The 15,127-nt window shown below is 46.2% G+C and overlaps 1 protein-coding gene and 2 non-coding genes across 4 annotated transcripts, besides 6 other annotated features; all 3 read left to right on the forward strand.

Moving 5' to 3' along the window:
* Nucleotides 5,344-6,136: an enhancer, noted in NCBI's record as "NANOG-H3K27ac hESC enhancer chr3:39445554-39446346 (GRCh37/hg19 assembly coordinates)". NCBI's record gives its function as "activates a minimal SCP1, AML or CMV promoter by ChIP-STARR-seq in primed H9 embryonic stem cells {active_cell/tissue: H9 hESC(primed)}" and the evidence as "EXISTENCE:reporter gene assay evidence [ECO:0000049][PMID:30033119]".
* Nucleotides 7,722-8,513: an enhancer, noted in NCBI's record as "H3K27ac hESC enhancer chr3:39447932-39448723 (GRCh37/hg19 assembly coordinates)". NCBI's record gives its function as "activates a minimal SCP1, AML or CMV promoter by ChIP-STARR-seq in primed H9 embryonic stem cells {active_cell/tissue: H9 hESC(primed)}" and the evidence as "EXISTENCE:reporter gene assay evidence [ECO:0000049][PMID:30033119]".
* Nucleotides 7,895-8,034: an enhancer, noted in NCBI's record as "active region_19708". NCBI's record gives its function as "activates an Ori minimal core promoter by ATAC-STARR-seq in GM12878 lymphoblastoid cells {active_cell/tissue: GM12878}" and the evidence as "EXISTENCE:reporter gene assay evidence [ECO:0000049][PMID:35858748]".
* Nucleotides 8,001-13,823, forward strand: RPSA (ribosomal protein SA). 2 transcript variants are annotated; one of them, NM_001304288.2, is made up of 7 exons: nucleotides 8,001-8,045; nucleotides 8,902-9,067; nucleotides 9,887-10,020; nucleotides 12,035-12,280; nucleotides 12,930-13,058; nucleotides 13,177-13,342; nucleotides 13,555-13,823. In NM_001304288.2, the coding sequence occupies exons 2-7, from the start codon at nucleotides 8,935-8,937 to the stop codon at nucleotides 13,647-13,649; spliced, it is 903 nt and encodes a 300-aa protein (NP_001291217.1). In that variant the 5' UTR covers nucleotides 8,001-8,045; nucleotides 8,902-8,934; the 3' UTR covers nucleotides 13,650-13,823. The 2 variants fall into 2 exon arrangements, with proteins under 2 accessions (NP_001291217.1, NP_002286.2); NM_002295.6 differs by having other exon boundaries at nucleotides 9,887-10,005.
* Nucleotides 8,205-8,384: a silencer, noted in NCBI's record as "silent region_14227". NCBI's record gives its function as "represses an Ori minimal core promoter by ATAC-STARR-seq in GM12878 lymphoblastoid cells {active_cell/tissue: GM12878}" and the evidence as "EXISTENCE:reporter gene assay evidence [ECO:0000049][PMID:35858748]".
* Nucleotides 9,672-9,820, forward strand: SNORA6 (small nucleolar RNA, H/ACA box 6). Its single transcript, NR_002325.1, has one exon. It is a non-coding gene; the product is annotated as a small nucleolar RNA, H/ACA box 6 (small nucleolar RNA).
* Nucleotides 9,780-9,829: a silencer, noted in NCBI's record as "silent region_14228". NCBI's record gives its function as "represses an Ori minimal core promoter by ATAC-STARR-seq in GM12878 lymphoblastoid cells {active_cell/tissue: GM12878}" and the evidence as "EXISTENCE:reporter gene assay evidence [ECO:0000049][PMID:35858748]".
* Nucleotides 10,099-10,890: an enhancer, noted in NCBI's record as "H3K27ac-H3K4me1 hESC enhancer chr3:39450309-39451100 (GRCh37/hg19 assembly coordinates)". NCBI's record gives its function as "activates a minimal SCP1, AML or CMV promoter by ChIP-STARR-seq in naive H9 embryonic stem cells {active_cell/tissue: H9 hESC(naive)}" and the evidence as "EXISTENCE:reporter gene assay evidence [ECO:0000049][PMID:30033119]".
* Nucleotides 12,335-12,488, forward strand: SNORA62 (small nucleolar RNA, H/ACA box 62). The gene has a single exon (NR_002324.1). It is a non-coding gene; the product is annotated as a small nucleolar RNA, H/ACA box 62 (small nucleolar RNA).

Raw genomic sequence — 15,127 nt, forward strand, 5'->3', positions numbered from 1 at the left:
CGCCCCCAGCCGGAAATAGGGTTAGTAATGTTTCCTGCCTCTTCAGGTGGTGGTGAGGGTTAATTAATAAATGTTTCTGAAATGTGGTATTAGCTTCATAGGACAGCCACAACAAGTTACCACAGTCAGAATGGTTTATAACTCAATCTGGAGGCCAGAAGTCTGAAATCAATGTGTCAGCAGCATTGCACCTCTGAAGGCTCTAGGAGAGTCATGCTTTGTCTGTTGCACCTTCTAGTGGTGGCTAGCATTCCTTGGCTTGTAAAAACATCACTCTAATCTCTGCCTGTCTTCACATGCCTTTTCCCTTGTGTATCTGTTTCTCTCTATGTTAGACCCTATTTCCAAATAGGGTCACATTCGCAGGTATTAGGGGTTAGAACGCCAATATATCTTTTGGGGGGACACAATTCAACCCACAACACAGATTAAGCTGATGTATAAGTTAAAATCAGTTTATACTTTAGGCTTTAGGTTAAAACACCATATTTAAAATAGTAATTTGGGTAGGGGTGTGGGAGAGGATGAAGCAGGGTCCTAAGCTTACAGTGGCACCCAAGCCTCCAATGCTGTGACCTGTGTGTTGTGAGGCCTCGTGCTGTAGGAAGCAGGGGAGAGGTCAGGATGGGAAAGGAGAGAAGGGAGGGACAGTTGGATGGAGTGGCTGCTTCCTAAGAACTTAGACTCTGGAGTAGGTGTTCCATGTCCCTTGCCTCCTCAGCCTCCTTTGACCCTCATCCTGAGTGCAGGGAACCTAATGCCAGTGAGGACTCTTAGGGAGGAGGGGCAGAGATAAGGCCGAGAGAGTTGGGCTTCTTCCCAATGCGAATTTCCTGGCCTCACATTGGCAGATGAATTTCTGCCACCAGATTCCCCCTCACATTTTCTTCATTTGTTTTTTAGGGGAGCAAATAAATATGATAAAATCAGGAGAAATCATCTAGTTTTCTCTAAACATGAGGTAGAAAATTTGTCTTTGTGAATCTCGAGTCCTGCGGCAAGTAGCCTGTTTTTTCCTCTCTCACAGTCTCAGTATTAAAGCTTGGAAAGCAATTGGCTAGTGAGCGTTAGCTGGCTTTGGAAGCATTGCCCACTTTTTTTTTTTTTTGAGACAGAGTCTTGCTCTGTTGCCCAGGCTAGAGTGCAGTGGTATGATCTTGGCTCGCTGCAACCTCCGCCTCCCGGGTTCAAGCGATTCTCCTGCCTCAGCCTCCCAAATAGCTGGGATTACAGGTACCTGCCACCGCGCCCGGCTAATTTTTGTATTTTTTAGTAGAAACGAGGTTTCACCATCTTGGCCAGGCTGGTCTCGAACTCCTGACCTCATGATCCATCCGCCTTGGCCTCCCAAAGTGCTGGGATTACAGGTGTGAGCCACCACATTGGCCTTTTTTTTTTTTTAAATGGTTCCTTCTTGGCTGCCTTAGACTTATTAAAGCACATTAGAGGTGGGGCTCTGTGGGAGAAAAATAGTCAGATGGTGACTAAAGATAAGGCAGTGTAGGGCTAAAGCCAAAAGAAGACACAGAAGCAAAGGTTTCAAGCTGTATTACACTCACTTTCTAAGAATACATGATTATGAAATCTTTCAAGCCATCACAATAGGAAAGCCAATGGTCTACTGGCCCTTCATTCATATCGCTCAGATGGAGCAATTGCCAAGATTTTGCCACACTTGCTTCTCTCCCCTAACTGTGTCCCCTGCTCCTGCCACTCCTTTTTCTTTTTTTTTTCTTTTTTTTTTTTTTGAGACGGAGTCTCGCTCTGTCACCCAGGCTGGAGTGCAGTAGCGCAGTCTCGGCTCACTGCAAGCTCTGCCTCCTGGGTTCACGCCATTCTTCTGCCTCAGCTTCCCGAGTAGCTGGGACTACAGGCGCCAGCCACCACGACTGGGTAATTTTTTTTTATTTTTAGTAGAGATGGGGTTTCACTGTGTTAGCCAGGATGGTCTCGATCTCCTGACCTCGTGATCCACCTGCCTCGGCCTCTCAAAGTGCTGGGATTACAGGTGTGAGCCACCACGCCTGGCCTCCTTTTTCTTTTATGAAGCTTTTAGAGACAGATCCCAGACATCATATAATTTCACCCTTGCTTACTTCAATATGCATCTCTTAAAAATTATGGACTTTTTTTTAACATAAGTATGTCATTACCCCACCTGGAAAAATTTAACACATTTTTTGCATATCATCCATATTCACATTTCCCAGACTGTCCCAACAATGATTTTTTACAGTTGGTTTATTTCAATTAGAATTCAAACAAGGTCCATACAAGGCATTTGGTCTTTTATTGATGTTTTAGAAACAAGGTCTTGCTCGTCACCCAGGATGCAGTGCAGTGGTATGATCATGGTTCACTGCAACCTTGAACTTCTAGGCTCAAGCCATCCTCCCACCTCAGCCTCCCAAGTAGCTGGGACTACAGGTGCACGCCACCACACCCAGCCAGTTTTTAAAAAATTTTTTTGCAGAGACAAGATCTCGCAATGTTGCCCAGGCTGGTCTCAAACTCCTAGCCTCAAGTGATCCTCCAGCCTCAGCCTCCCAAAGGATTGGGATTACAGGTATGAGCCACCACACTTTGCCGGCAGTTGGTTTTGAAAATCTCTAGGCTGGGCACAGTGGCTCATGCCTGTAGGCCCAGCCCTTTGGAAAGCCAAGGCTGATAGATCGCTTGAGCCCAGTAGTTTGAGACCAGCCTAGGCAACATAGTCAAACTCTGTCTCTACAGAAAAATTTAAAAATTTGCCAGGTGTGGTGAGGCACATCTGTAGTCCCAGCTACTCAGAAGGCTGAGGCAGGAGAATCACTTAAGCCCTGAAAGTCAAGGCTGCAGTGAGCCGTGATCAGGCCACTGCACTCCAGCCCAGGTGACAGAGCAAAGCCCTGTCTCAAAAAAAAACCTCTTTATTCCAGGACACCACCATTCTCCCCAATTTTTTTGTTCTACATTGTCTTTGTAGGGACTGAGGGGACGGGGGAACAAGACAAAGTTAGAGGAAACTTGATTCTGAAGCAGTGTCTAAGGCCTCTCTTGGCATATCAAAGGGCTAGTCTTTGAGGTAACACATCCTCAGCCCCAGTATCCTGTAAAATGTCCCATTTTCTGAATTTGTTTTCTGATGGTTTTAGCTCATTTCTGTTTCACACATGTTCTATAAACTGGATGTTACCTTGGATGGCTTGATTACATTTAGGTCTATCCAATTTCTTAGGCAAAGGAAAGACCAGAGCTATAGATTCTAAGTGGTAGAAAGTCTGAAAAGGCATACGAGGGTCTCTCACTTAGCAAATGAGTGAGTGCAAATGAAACGTTCTATTCACTTCATTCAGTTACTTCCTCCCAAGAGAAATGAGGAGAGGCTGAAATTTCTTTAACCAGCAGTTAGAAAGGATAAATAATTTTGAGGCAAACCAAGGTTAGAGTGAGTCAGTTCTGAGGGCCCAATCAAGACAGGGAACCCAGCACTGACTCTGGGAGGTTGCAAAACTGAAACCTGCTCACCAAGGTTATGCCTTATGCCCCTTCCATATACTTCTGGCTGAGCAGTGCATTTATAACTTGTTGGGTTTTTTGTTTTTTTGAGACAGGGTCTCACTCTATTCCACAGGCTGGAGTACACTGGCAATCTCAGCTCACTGCTCTCAGCTCACTGCAGCCTCGACCTCCCAGGCTCAAGCAATCCTCCCACCTCAGCCTCCCAAGTAGCTGGGACTACAGGCATGCATTACCACACCCAGCTAATATTTTTGTATTTTTAGTAGAGACAGGGTTTCGCCATGTTGCCCAGGCTAGTCTCGAACTCCTGGGCTCAAGGGATCTGCCCACCTCAGCCTCCCAAAGTGCTGGGATTACAGGTGTGTGTCATCACGCCTGGCCTTCTAACTTATTGTTGATATTAAATGTAACAACCAGGCTGGGCACGGTGGCTTATGCCTATAATCCCAGCCCTTCGGGAGGCTGAGGCGGGCAGATCACAAGGTCAGGAGTTCGAGACTAGCCTGACCAACATGGTGAAAACCTATCTCTACTAAAAATACAAAAATTAGCTGGGCATGGTGGCACGCGCCTGTAATCCCAGTTACTTGGGAGGCCAAGGCAGGAGAATCGTTTGAACCTGGGAGGCAGAGGTTGCAGTGAGCTGAGATCATGCCATTGCACACCAGAGGGAGACTCTGTCTCAAAAAATAAATAAATACATTTAACAAGCAGCAGGGCACAGTGGGTCACACCTATAATCCCAGCACTTTGGGAGGCCAAGGCCAGTGAGATCACTTGAGGTCAGGAGTTCAAGACCATCCTGGCCAACATGGCAAAGCCCTGTCTCTACTAAAATTACAAAAAATCAGCCAGATGTAGTGGTGTGCACCTGTAGTCCCAGCTATTCGGGTAGCTGAGGCACAAGAATTGCTTGAATCTGGGAGGCAGAGGTTGCAGTGAGTTGCAATTGCACCACTGCACTCCAGCCTGGGAGACAGCAACTCTGTCTCAAAAAAAAAAACAAAAAAAAGAAGAAGAAGAAAAAAAAATTTAACAATCCACTGTGTCTTAAATTTCAGCTTTTGTCACCACTCCCTCCAAAAAAAGGTGCCTCAATGCAACAGCCTCTAGGTAGAACTAGCTTCTAAGTTCTTCTCTGCTCCTGGGAGCCATTAGCTTAGGTAGTCAGGAAATACCCTAGGCCGGGTGCAGTGGCTCATGCCTGTAATCCTAGCACTTCGGGAGGCCGAGGCGGGCTGATCACTTGAGGTAAGGAGTTCAAGACCAGCCTGGCCGACAAAGCAAAACCCTGTCTCTACCAAAAATACAAAAACTGGCCAGATGTGGTGGTGCGGGCCTGTAGTCCCAGCTACTCGGGAGGCTGAAGCTGGAGAATTGCTTGAGCCTGGGAGCAGAGGTTGCAGTGAGCTGAGATCACACTACTGCACTCCAGCCTGGGTGACAGAATGAGACTGTCTCAAAAAAAAAAAAATTACATAAAATAAAGAAGAAATACTCTAGAGTCTAGGATCGTGGTTTTTAAACTCAATATGGCTGCACATTGGAATCATCTGGAAAATGTTGGGGCTCAGAAAATGATACCCCTGACTGAATAAGGCACTTTGGCATGCTGCATGCTTTGAATTAAAGAAAATTGAAAGGCTTCTGAAATAGCGTCAGAACCAAGGTTTCTTTCTGACCTTCCCCTAACCCCATCTCTCAATCCCCTTTTCCCAAAGCATCCGGAGGGGCTTTGTCTGAAGTTCCCTTATCTGAATAAGGTAGGTTCCTCCAGAATAAAATACAATAGTCTTAAAACTTCCTCCCTAAGAATCTCATCAGGTAACCAGGAAATATTAACCACTGGGAAGAGAAAAGACTAAAAGTCATCACCATGCCCAGACAGACTCTTCATCTATTTTTCTGAGGGCAGCTTTTGAGAGATTTTCCAGGAGACATTATTTGCCTAATAAGGCAACCTTTGGTCACAGTGAAGTTCCTCCCCTTACCCTTTGCTGCTGTTTCCCCCAGAGCTCACAGGAACTTTGTCTCAGGCAAATTTTCTGTTCTTTGAACTCATTCCTATCCTTCCAAAAATCACTTACTAGCCCTCTAAATTGTTTACCATCCCATCTCCCTTCCCTGTGAAGTAGATGCTATTTAAGCTTCAGCCATCTGGCCCTTCTTTGAGTCTTATATTTCGTGTGGCTCCTGTGCATAAGCACATTAATAAATGTGTATGTTTGGCCTGGTGTGGTGGCTCACGCCTGTAATCCCAGCACTTTGGGAGGCCGAGGTGGGCAGATAACCTGAGGTCAGGAGTTCAAGTCCAGCCTGACCAACATGGAGCAACCCCATTTCTACTAAAAATACAAAATTAGCCGGGTGTGGTGGCGCATGCCTATAATCCCAGCTACTCGAGAGGCTGAGGCAGGAGAATTGCTTGAACCCGAGAGGTGGAGGTTTCGTTGAGCCGAGATTGAGCCACTGCACTCCAGCCTGGGCAACAAGAGCAAAACTCCGTCTCAAAAAAAAAAAGTGTATGTTTCTTCTCCTGTTAATTTGTCTATTGTCAGTTCATTTTAGCAGTGAACACTCAGAGGGTGGAGGGGAAGCCCCTACAAGAGCTTTAAAAGCTACTGATGCTTGGGTCTCACTCAGAGATTCTGATATATTCAGCCCAGGTGTAAGATTTTAAAAGCTGCCCAGGTGATCCTAATGCCAAGGCTGAGGCCCCTGGAGGAACCCTGCAGAGCTGCACTCACTACTCAGCAATCCCAATCCACACGTGAAGGGTTAAGCAGGAGTACATTTGGGTGCAGGGGGCAGGGCATTGTTTTGGGACTCAGGGGCCTCTGAGGAGGCTTGTGGCCTGAGTTTCTGCCAACAAACTGAATGCCTCCTCTTCCCATAACAAAGCGTAGAAGCGGGAGGCATTTGCATTTGCCGCAAGGGGCTGTGACTTCTCTGAATTTGTCCCTCAAGCCCCAGGTGCTTCAGCCTTGGTGGGTGATGAAGCAGAGCAGCCTGGGGGTGACCTGTGCTAGGGTCCAAGGGTTTCCAAGCTCCTCAGAAAATCATACTGGCTTCAGTGGAGCTGCAGAGCCACTTGCAGGAGAACCTGGATGTGCTGTCCTTTGGAAGAGTGGCCATAAGGGTCTACGAGTTCATTTTAGGGTGGGCTCAGAAATCAGATTGACTCAGCAGGCCCCAGAGAGGAACCTGCACTTTTTTTTTTTTTGACGGAGTCTTACTCTGTCGCCCAGGCTGGAGTGCAAGTGGCGCAATCTCCACTCACTACAACCTCTGCCTCCTGGGTTCAAGCAATTCTCCCGCCTCAGCCTCCCCAGTAGCTGGGATTACAGGCATGCCTGGCTAATTTTTGAATTTTTAGTAGATACCGGGTTTCGCCATGTTGGCCAGGCTGGTCTCTTGAACTCCTGGCCTCAAGGGATCCGCCCGCGTCAGCCTCCGAAAGTGCTGGGATTACAGCCACCGCGCCCCTTCAATTAACTCCTATTTTTTTGTTTGTTTTTTGGAGACAGAATTTCGCTCTATTGCCCAGGCTGGAGTGCAGCGGTGCAATCACATTCACTGCAGACTTGACCTCTAGGCTCAAGCTATCCTCCTGCCTCAGCCTCCTGAGTAGCTGAGACTACAGGGACGCACCATCATGATTGGTTAATTTTTGTATTTTTTGTGGAGATGGGGGTCTCCCCATGTTTCCCAGGCTAGTCTTGAACTTCTGAGCTCAGGCAATCCACCCACCTCGGCCTCCCAAAGTGCTGGGATTACAGGCACAAGCCACCGCGCCCGGCAAACTTATCTCCTACTGATGGATATTGCAAAATTTTTCTTCTACCAAAAAAAAAAAAAAAAAAAAGATAGATATAATCCATACCATCTGTTCAATCTTGTCCTTTTTAACTTTTTCAGGGAAACTTCCCCCAGGTGATAGATGGATAGATACATGAGATAGACATAACGCATACGATCAGTTCAATCTTATCTTTTTTAACTTTTTCAGAGAAAACTTCCCTTAAGTGAACATTTAAATCTGAATTACGTCCTGTTAAACTGTTCTCCAGGAAAATAAAATAAAATAAATCTTCAAGTTTTTGTTTACCTAACAATTTGTTGTGTCGAACAAACCTTCCTACTTTTCAGGTAACAAAATGGCAGCTTAGGCTAGAAAGCCGCTCATATTCGCAGGTACAAGGGCTGGGTAAGAACGCCCCGCCTGGCTGACTAACTTGAGTTCCGCGCTCTGGACAGGAATTATGCACAGGGCGTCGCTGTGGCACTAGAAACCCCAAAGTCACAAGCGCCCCAGATCCGACCAGGATGCCGCTACCGGCTACAGCCCAGAGGCCCGCTCCTGCGGCGCAAGCCCGCCTTCCTGAAGAAAAAGCCCAGTCCCGGCAGCGTTCTTCTCCGGCTCCGCCCTTCTTCCGCTCGACTTTCTTTGCCATTGGCTGACAACGGAGTACATAAGGACGTCATTTCCTGCCGCCTGTCTTTTCCGTGCTACCTGCAGAGGGGTCCATACGGCGTTGTTCTGGGTGAGTTCCGTGTAGCGTCCCTGGCGCCTTCCAGGGCTAGAAAAATGAGCTTTTCCTGCTCAAATGAAGGGTGAGAAGACTAGTGATGAAAGCCGGTCAGACTGGATCTGTCTCCCGCCCGGCGCGCCCCACCTTAGGCCTGCGGCCCGCACGTGGCCAGGCTCGGGCTGGCGGGTTCCCAGAGTGCCCCGGGAGCGGGTGGAGGCCGCCCTCCAGCGGAGGCTCCGAGCTGGGGTTCGGACCAGGCCGCGGGTGGGCGGGAGTGCAGAAAGCGGGCTAACATCCTGTGTTGCTATCCCTTCGGAGTCCCACACGGCGGTGAGTCTAGGCCCAGGCGCTGATTTACACCAGCTACTTGGGCTGGTCGGGTTTTCCCTTCGCGCCGTGCGGGTCAGGAGTTAAGGTTCTCGGGTTTTTAGACAAACAAGTGGTGACAGCACAGCGAAGTAATTCCAAAGCATCCGCCTACAATCTGCTTGAAAATGTCTGAAAACAATTCATGCCTTTTTTGCCTTTAGTTTGCATATTCCAAACATGGCTGCTCTTTTGTATCTAGTTGTTAACTTGGCGCATCCACAACTTTTCCTTAATTCCTATCTTGAGAAGTGTTGAATTTCCATTCGCTAATTTCGTGTAGTTTTATTACTCGGTTACTCTGCCGTCCACACTATTTCCTCAGTAAGATGTGCGCTGTTCCGTAATACACGACATGTATGGGTTAACTTTCTGTTTACCCTTCACTACACTGTAAGCTCAATGCCTGACACTATAGCAGATGGAGTTTTTGGTTGCTTTTAAGGGTGTGCCCTACTTAACTCAATGGAATGAAAAGAAATAGGTTGCTCTCTTATTTCAGATTCCCGTCGTAACTTAAAGGGAAATTTTCACAATGTCCGGAGCCCTTGATGTCCTGCAAATGAAGGAGGAGGATGTCCTTAAGTTCCTTGCAGCAGGAACCCACTTAGGTGGCACCAATCTTGACTTCCAGATGGAACAGTACATCTATAAAAGGAAAAGTGATGGTTAGTCATTGCTTTAATTTTTTGTTACTCCAGCTGTAAGTACAAATTTTGAGCTTGCTATTCTCGTGGTTAGTTCTGGGTAATTTCTTTCTATCTTCCTTAAATGAAGCCAGACCCCTACGTTGAAAACATACTTTAAATAAATGTTCTTGTTATTGAGAGAAAAGATTTCTGCTCCAGGGGAGGAATATGTCAGTTGTCTGAGTTACGGGACTTGGGTTGGGTCATGAACATGAGAAAGTTCATTGGCTGAGTTTCTAATAGCTCGCATAGTGCCTTCAACTTCATAGGTACTTACACAGGCTATTGAACTGAATTTTGAGTGGAAAGTGGGGTAAGAGGTGGGAATGAACAATATGGTTTGGAAGAACCAGAGGATGGAAGGCATTAAGTTGGCTAAGGCACTTACTTATTTTAGAGATAAAGCTACCAAGGACTTGGGAGTGACATGCTGTAAAGGAGTTTTAGGATGAATCTTGCATCAGTGCAGATTATAAAAGGGAAAGAGTGGCAGAAAGCCAGGAAGTGGATTATTAAGAACCAATGATGGAATAAGTACAGGGAAAGAGAAAGGAAAGATGGATTTAGCCAACTGAATCTAGGCTGCACACTATTAAAGCTCAGGGTGGAGGCCAGTCTTGGCTCATGAACTTCTGAGTGTCGGAAGTGTGCTATATCAATGGCAGGATTTTCGCTAACACCAGTAGAGCTTGCCTCTATGACTGGAGTTTGGTAGTACTCGCTGCCACATAGAGTAAACTTGAGAAGAATGTTTGCACAGCCAGGTCAAGTGTTACAAATCCTTCTGCCCTCACTTAGGCATCTATATCATAAATCTCAAGAGGACCTGGGAGAAGCTTCTGCTGGCAGCTCGTGCAATTGTTGCCATTGAAAACCCTGCTGATGTCAGTGTTATATCCTCCAGGAATACTGGCCAGGTTTGTGGAACAGTGGTTAGTTTTTATATTATAGAAATAAAGCTTACAGACATTGTGAGACATAGAAAGACATAAGAAAACAGAAATAACTCAGGCCGGGCGCGGTGGCTACGCCTGTAATCCCAGCACTTTGGGAGGTGGAGTCCGGCGTATTACGAGGTCAGGAGATCCACACCACGGTGAAGCCCCATCTCTACTAAAAATACAAAAAATTAGTTGGGCGTGGGGGCGGGTGCCTGTAGTCCCAGCTACTCAGGAGGCCAAAGTGGAGAATGGCGTGAACCCGGTGGGCGGAGCTTGCAGTGAGCTGAGATGCGCCACTGTACTCCAGCCTGGGTGACAGAGCCGAGACTCTGTCTCAAAAAAAAAAAAAAAGAAAATAGAAAACTCAAACTCCACTGTTAAGAGATCTTAAGTTGGACTGAGCCATAGAAATCGCCCTTATGACCTATGACCTTCCTTTTTTTTTTTTTTTTTTTTTTTCCTTCAAGACAGTCTCTCGCTCTGTTGCCTGTTGTCCATCCTGGACTGCAGTGGTGTGATATCGGCTCATTGCAGCCTTTGCCTCCTAAGCTCAAGGGATTCTCCTGCCTCATCCTCCCGAGTAGCTGGAATTACAGGCATGTGCCACCATGCCTGACTGATTTTTGTATTTTTAGTAGAGACATGGTTTTACCATTTGGCCAGGCTGGTCTTAAACGCCTGATCTCAAGTGATCCTCCCACCTCGGCCTCCCAAAGTGTTGGGATTACAGGCGTAAGCCACTGCGCCCAGCCTGTAAGACCTTTTCAACATACATGCTGGGCATCTGGCAGTATGTTGAACTTTATAATTTCATTTTGTGTAGACTTGTGCCACTAAATATCTAGAAATTCTATTAAAGTGGCTTATCACATTTTCCCATAGTCAAAGTTTTTACCTTAAAACAATGAAATACTGGGACAGAAATTTTTTAAGAATCTTAGCCAGTCATGACGGCATGCACCCATAGTTCCCGTTAATTGGGAGTCTGAGCCAGGAGATCCCTCAAGTCCAGGAGCTGGGGGCTGCAGTAAGTTATGATTTTGCCACTGCACTCCAAGCCTGGGGCACAGAGTGAGATCCTGTTTCTTAAAAAAGCCAGTCATGGGTGGCTCATGCTTTTGTAATATGGGGTACTTTGTGAGGCTGAGGCTGGTGGCTTGCTTGAGCCCAGAAGTTCGAGACCAGGGTGGGCAACGTGGCAAAACTCCGTCTCTACCAAAATTAACAAAAACGAGCTGGGTGTGGTGTTGGCGTGCCTGTAGTCTCAGCTGAGGCTAAGGTGGGAAGATTGCTAGAACACAGGAGGTTGAGGCAGCAGGGAGCCAAGACTGTCCACTGCATCCCAGCCTGAGTGACAGAGTGAGGCCTTGTCTCAAAGAGAACCTCTGCCAACTTGAATGAAAAATACCTTAATTTGTATTTTTAAGAAATGACTAGTTAGTAAAACTTGAATCTTTTTTGCCACAGCTCTATTTTAATAATTTTTCTGTTGAGAAAACTAGTAGATTTCTTGAATTCTAAGAGTTCTAACAGGGATTTTATTCATCTTAACTATTTTGACAGATTTAAAAATTATGTAGTAAGACTTTATTTCAATGTTGACAGGACGGGTTCCCATGTGTGTTTTTGCAGAGGGTTATTCCTGAAACTGACTTGTTACTAGGACCACATAGTTTGGTACACAGTAGAAAAAAGGCAGTTAGTTATTGCTGTAGAATGAACTGAGTGACAGTTCTTGCTTGCTTGAGAAAAATATACTGAGCATCTAGATTGGGCCAGGTAGTGTTGCTAGGTGCTCGGGATATATAGTAGAAAAACAAGCCTGTCTTTTTTAATGTATGCAGGAAATCTCTGGAGAAGTAAGAGAGGTTAAGGAAAGCTGGGTATGTGCCTGCTTTACATGGAGTAGTAGTGATTAAGTTGGCCAGTGCCCAGAAGTGCTTACTGGGTGCCAGGATTGTTGCTGTGGAATATCGAGTACCACTAACTTTTAAATTCTTCAAAGAGGGCTGTGCTGAAGTTTGCTGCTGCCACTGGAGCCACTCCAATTGCTGGCCGCTTCACTCCTGGAACCTTCACTAACCAGATCCAGGCAGCCTTCCGGGAGCCACGGCTTCTTGTGGTTACTGACCCCAGGGCTGACCACCAGCCTCTCACGGAGGCATCTTATGTTAACCTACCTACCATTGCGCTGTGTAACACAGATTCTCCTCTGCGCTATGTGGACATTGCCATCCCATGCAACAACAAGGTAATGATTTTAGGATCTAGAGTTTGTGAATGCGTGCTCTAGAAAAAACATTCCTGTGCACATTGTTAGAGCTTGGAGTTGAGGCTACTGACTGGCCGATGAACTCGCAAGTGTAGGTAGTGTGCTACATGAGGGGCAAGTTTTCGCTAACACCACAAGGGTCTCTGGCCCAATGAGTGGAGTTTGATAGTAATTCTTGCTACAAGTATAACATTACTGCATGACAGCTTTGTGGAGAAATGAAAACATTTGGAAAATAGTGTGTTCTTCTGCCTTTGTCCATGTTTCTTGCTCAGGCCTCAGGCACTTGGCCTTTGTTTTCACACCAACTTGATGGGTTCTACTATAAGATGCTAAAAAGGTGGGTTGTGTGTGGTTCAGATTGGTTGATTTGTAACCCTAGTTGTGCATAAGAATTGCCCAGATATTTTTTTTAAATGCCAGTGTCCAGGCATTTTTTTTTCAATCCCTATGATTCCAGTGTGCAGACAAGGTTGAAAATCCCTATTTATAATGCTCCCTGTTACAATTGCTTTTCAACTAAGAGATGTCTGTACTTTTGGTACCTAGATGATGTAAGAGCCAGGAAGGTGCTTGCTGTTTGGGTTTGACCAAGTGTCACTTTTTAATAATCTGCCACTCTTGGCAGGGAGCTCACTCAGTGGGTTTGATGTGGTGGATGCTGGCTCGGGAAGTTCTGCGCATGCGTGGCACCATTTCCCGTGAACACCCATGGGAGGTCATGCCTGATCTGTACTTCTACAGAGATCCTGAAGAGGTAAGCTTCTCCAAAGGCTTGTGGTTACATAAGCAAATTGGACGACTTGGACTGTGCTTCTAGGAAGCAAAACTTGTCAGTCCCTGTAAGTCTTTCCTCTTTTTTTTTTGTAACCCAGATTGAAAAAGAAGAGCAGGCTGCTGCTGAGAAGGCAGTGACCAAGGAGGAATTTCAGGGTGAATGGACTGCTCCCGCTCCTGAGTTCACTGCTACTCAGCCTGAGGTTGCAGACTGGTCTGAAGGTGTACAGGTGCCCTCTGTGCCTATTCAGCAATTCCCTACTGGTATGTATCAGGATAGAGGTGAATCAAGCTGATATTTTGCAACTTCTCAGTTTTATTCTAACTTTAATGATCTCTGTGACTTTTATACTAGCTTTAAGAGGTTTTCATTCCAGTGTGCTACAGCATCTGATAGACTGCTGTTGGGAGTGGGGTAAGGAAAAATACTACATTGAGGACAGAGCTGATGGCTTTTTTTGGTATTCTCTTAACAGAAGACTGGAGCGCTCAGCCTGCCACGGAAGACTGGTCTGCAGCTCCCACTGCTCAGGCCACTGAATGGGTAGGAGCAACCACTGACTGGTCTTAAGCTGTTCTTGCATAGGCTCTTAAGCAGCATGGAAAAATGGTTGATGGAAAATAAACATCAGTTTCTAAAAGTTGTCTTCATTTAGTTTGCTTTTTACTCCAGATCAGAATACCTGGGATTGCATATCAAAGCATAATAATAAATACATGTCTCGACATGAGTTGTACTTCTAAAGCCCACTGTAGATAGTGTATATTGCTTTTCACTTCAGAATTTCCCTGAGCTTCCTTCCTGTGTGGAGAACATGTGTGCTGTGAAAATAGATGTAAGTGGTTACACATACTTAGTTGGTAACCTCAGGAATACTTTTCCGAGGCCCTGATGATCTTGCTTTTATTACCATTTGCGTAGGTAAGTTCTATAGAGCTTAGGTTTTTATTTTTGAGAGTCTTCCTGTCACTTAGGTTAACTATTCCTGGAAGCCCTGGAGAGGCGATGGTCCTTCCCCACATTGAGAGACATTAATTGCCCCTCTTGTCAGCTTGCCTACAGGTTCTGGGAGAGGAGAGGTATGTATGTATTTAAAAATGTGATGTTCTCCATATTTGTCTTTGCCGGGGAGGGGGTTGGGGAGACAGTCTTTCCCTGTTGCCCAGGCTGGAGTACAGTGGCGTGATCTCAGTTCACTGCAACCTCTGCCTCCTGGGTTCAAGCGATTCTTGTGCCTCAGGCTCCTTCGTAGCTGGGATTTCAGGTGTGCACTGCCACACCTAGCTAATTTTTGTATTTGTAGTAGAGATGGTTCTGCCAGGCTGGTCTCCAACTCCTGGCCTCATGTGACCCGCCCCAAAATGCTGGGATTACAGGCCTGAGCCTGACCATATTTGTTTTTTATGTATTAATGCTGGTGGCTTCATCCTAAACGGATTTCAAGATTTTCATTGCCTATTAAAAAAATACTCGTGGCTGTCATGTTGGCTCACCCATGATCCCAGCACTTTGGGAGGCAGAGGCAAAGCGATTGCTTGAGCTCAGGAGTTCAGGACCAGCCTGGGCAATGTGGTAAAACCCCATCTCTCTCCAAAAGATACAAAAAATTGGCAGGGTGTGATGGCATACTCCTGTAGTACCTCAGCTACACAGGAGACTGAGGTGGGAGAATCACCTGAGGCCAGGAGTTGGAGGCTGCAGTGAGCTGTGATTGAGCCCCTGTATACTCTAGCCTGGGTGACGAAGTGAGGCCCTGTCTCAAAAAGATTATAGAGACATTTCCATAGATTGGATTGAATGCAGATTTTGAGATGGCCTGAACTGATTTACATGGATTCATACATTCTCTTGGAAAATTTACAAAATACATGTACATGTGACCACATTCCTAGGGCTCCTTCCGGTGGTGCTGAGGCAATGGGAACACTGCAGCCTCAAGCATTGTCTTCATGGGAAGCCTGCTTATGGCTGTAAGCGAGGCTGGGAAAATCTGCCCTATAATGTCTCCAAGTTGAATGGCATTCAGTGAGATTTATGGATCCTGAAGT

The sequence above is a fragment of the Homo sapiens genome, chromosome 3 (assembly GCF_000001405.40).
Source record: "Homo sapiens chromosome 3, GRCh38.p14 Primary Assembly".
Classification (NCBI taxonomy): domain Eukaryota; kingdom Metazoa; phylum Chordata; class Mammalia; order Primates; family Hominidae; genus Homo; species Homo sapiens.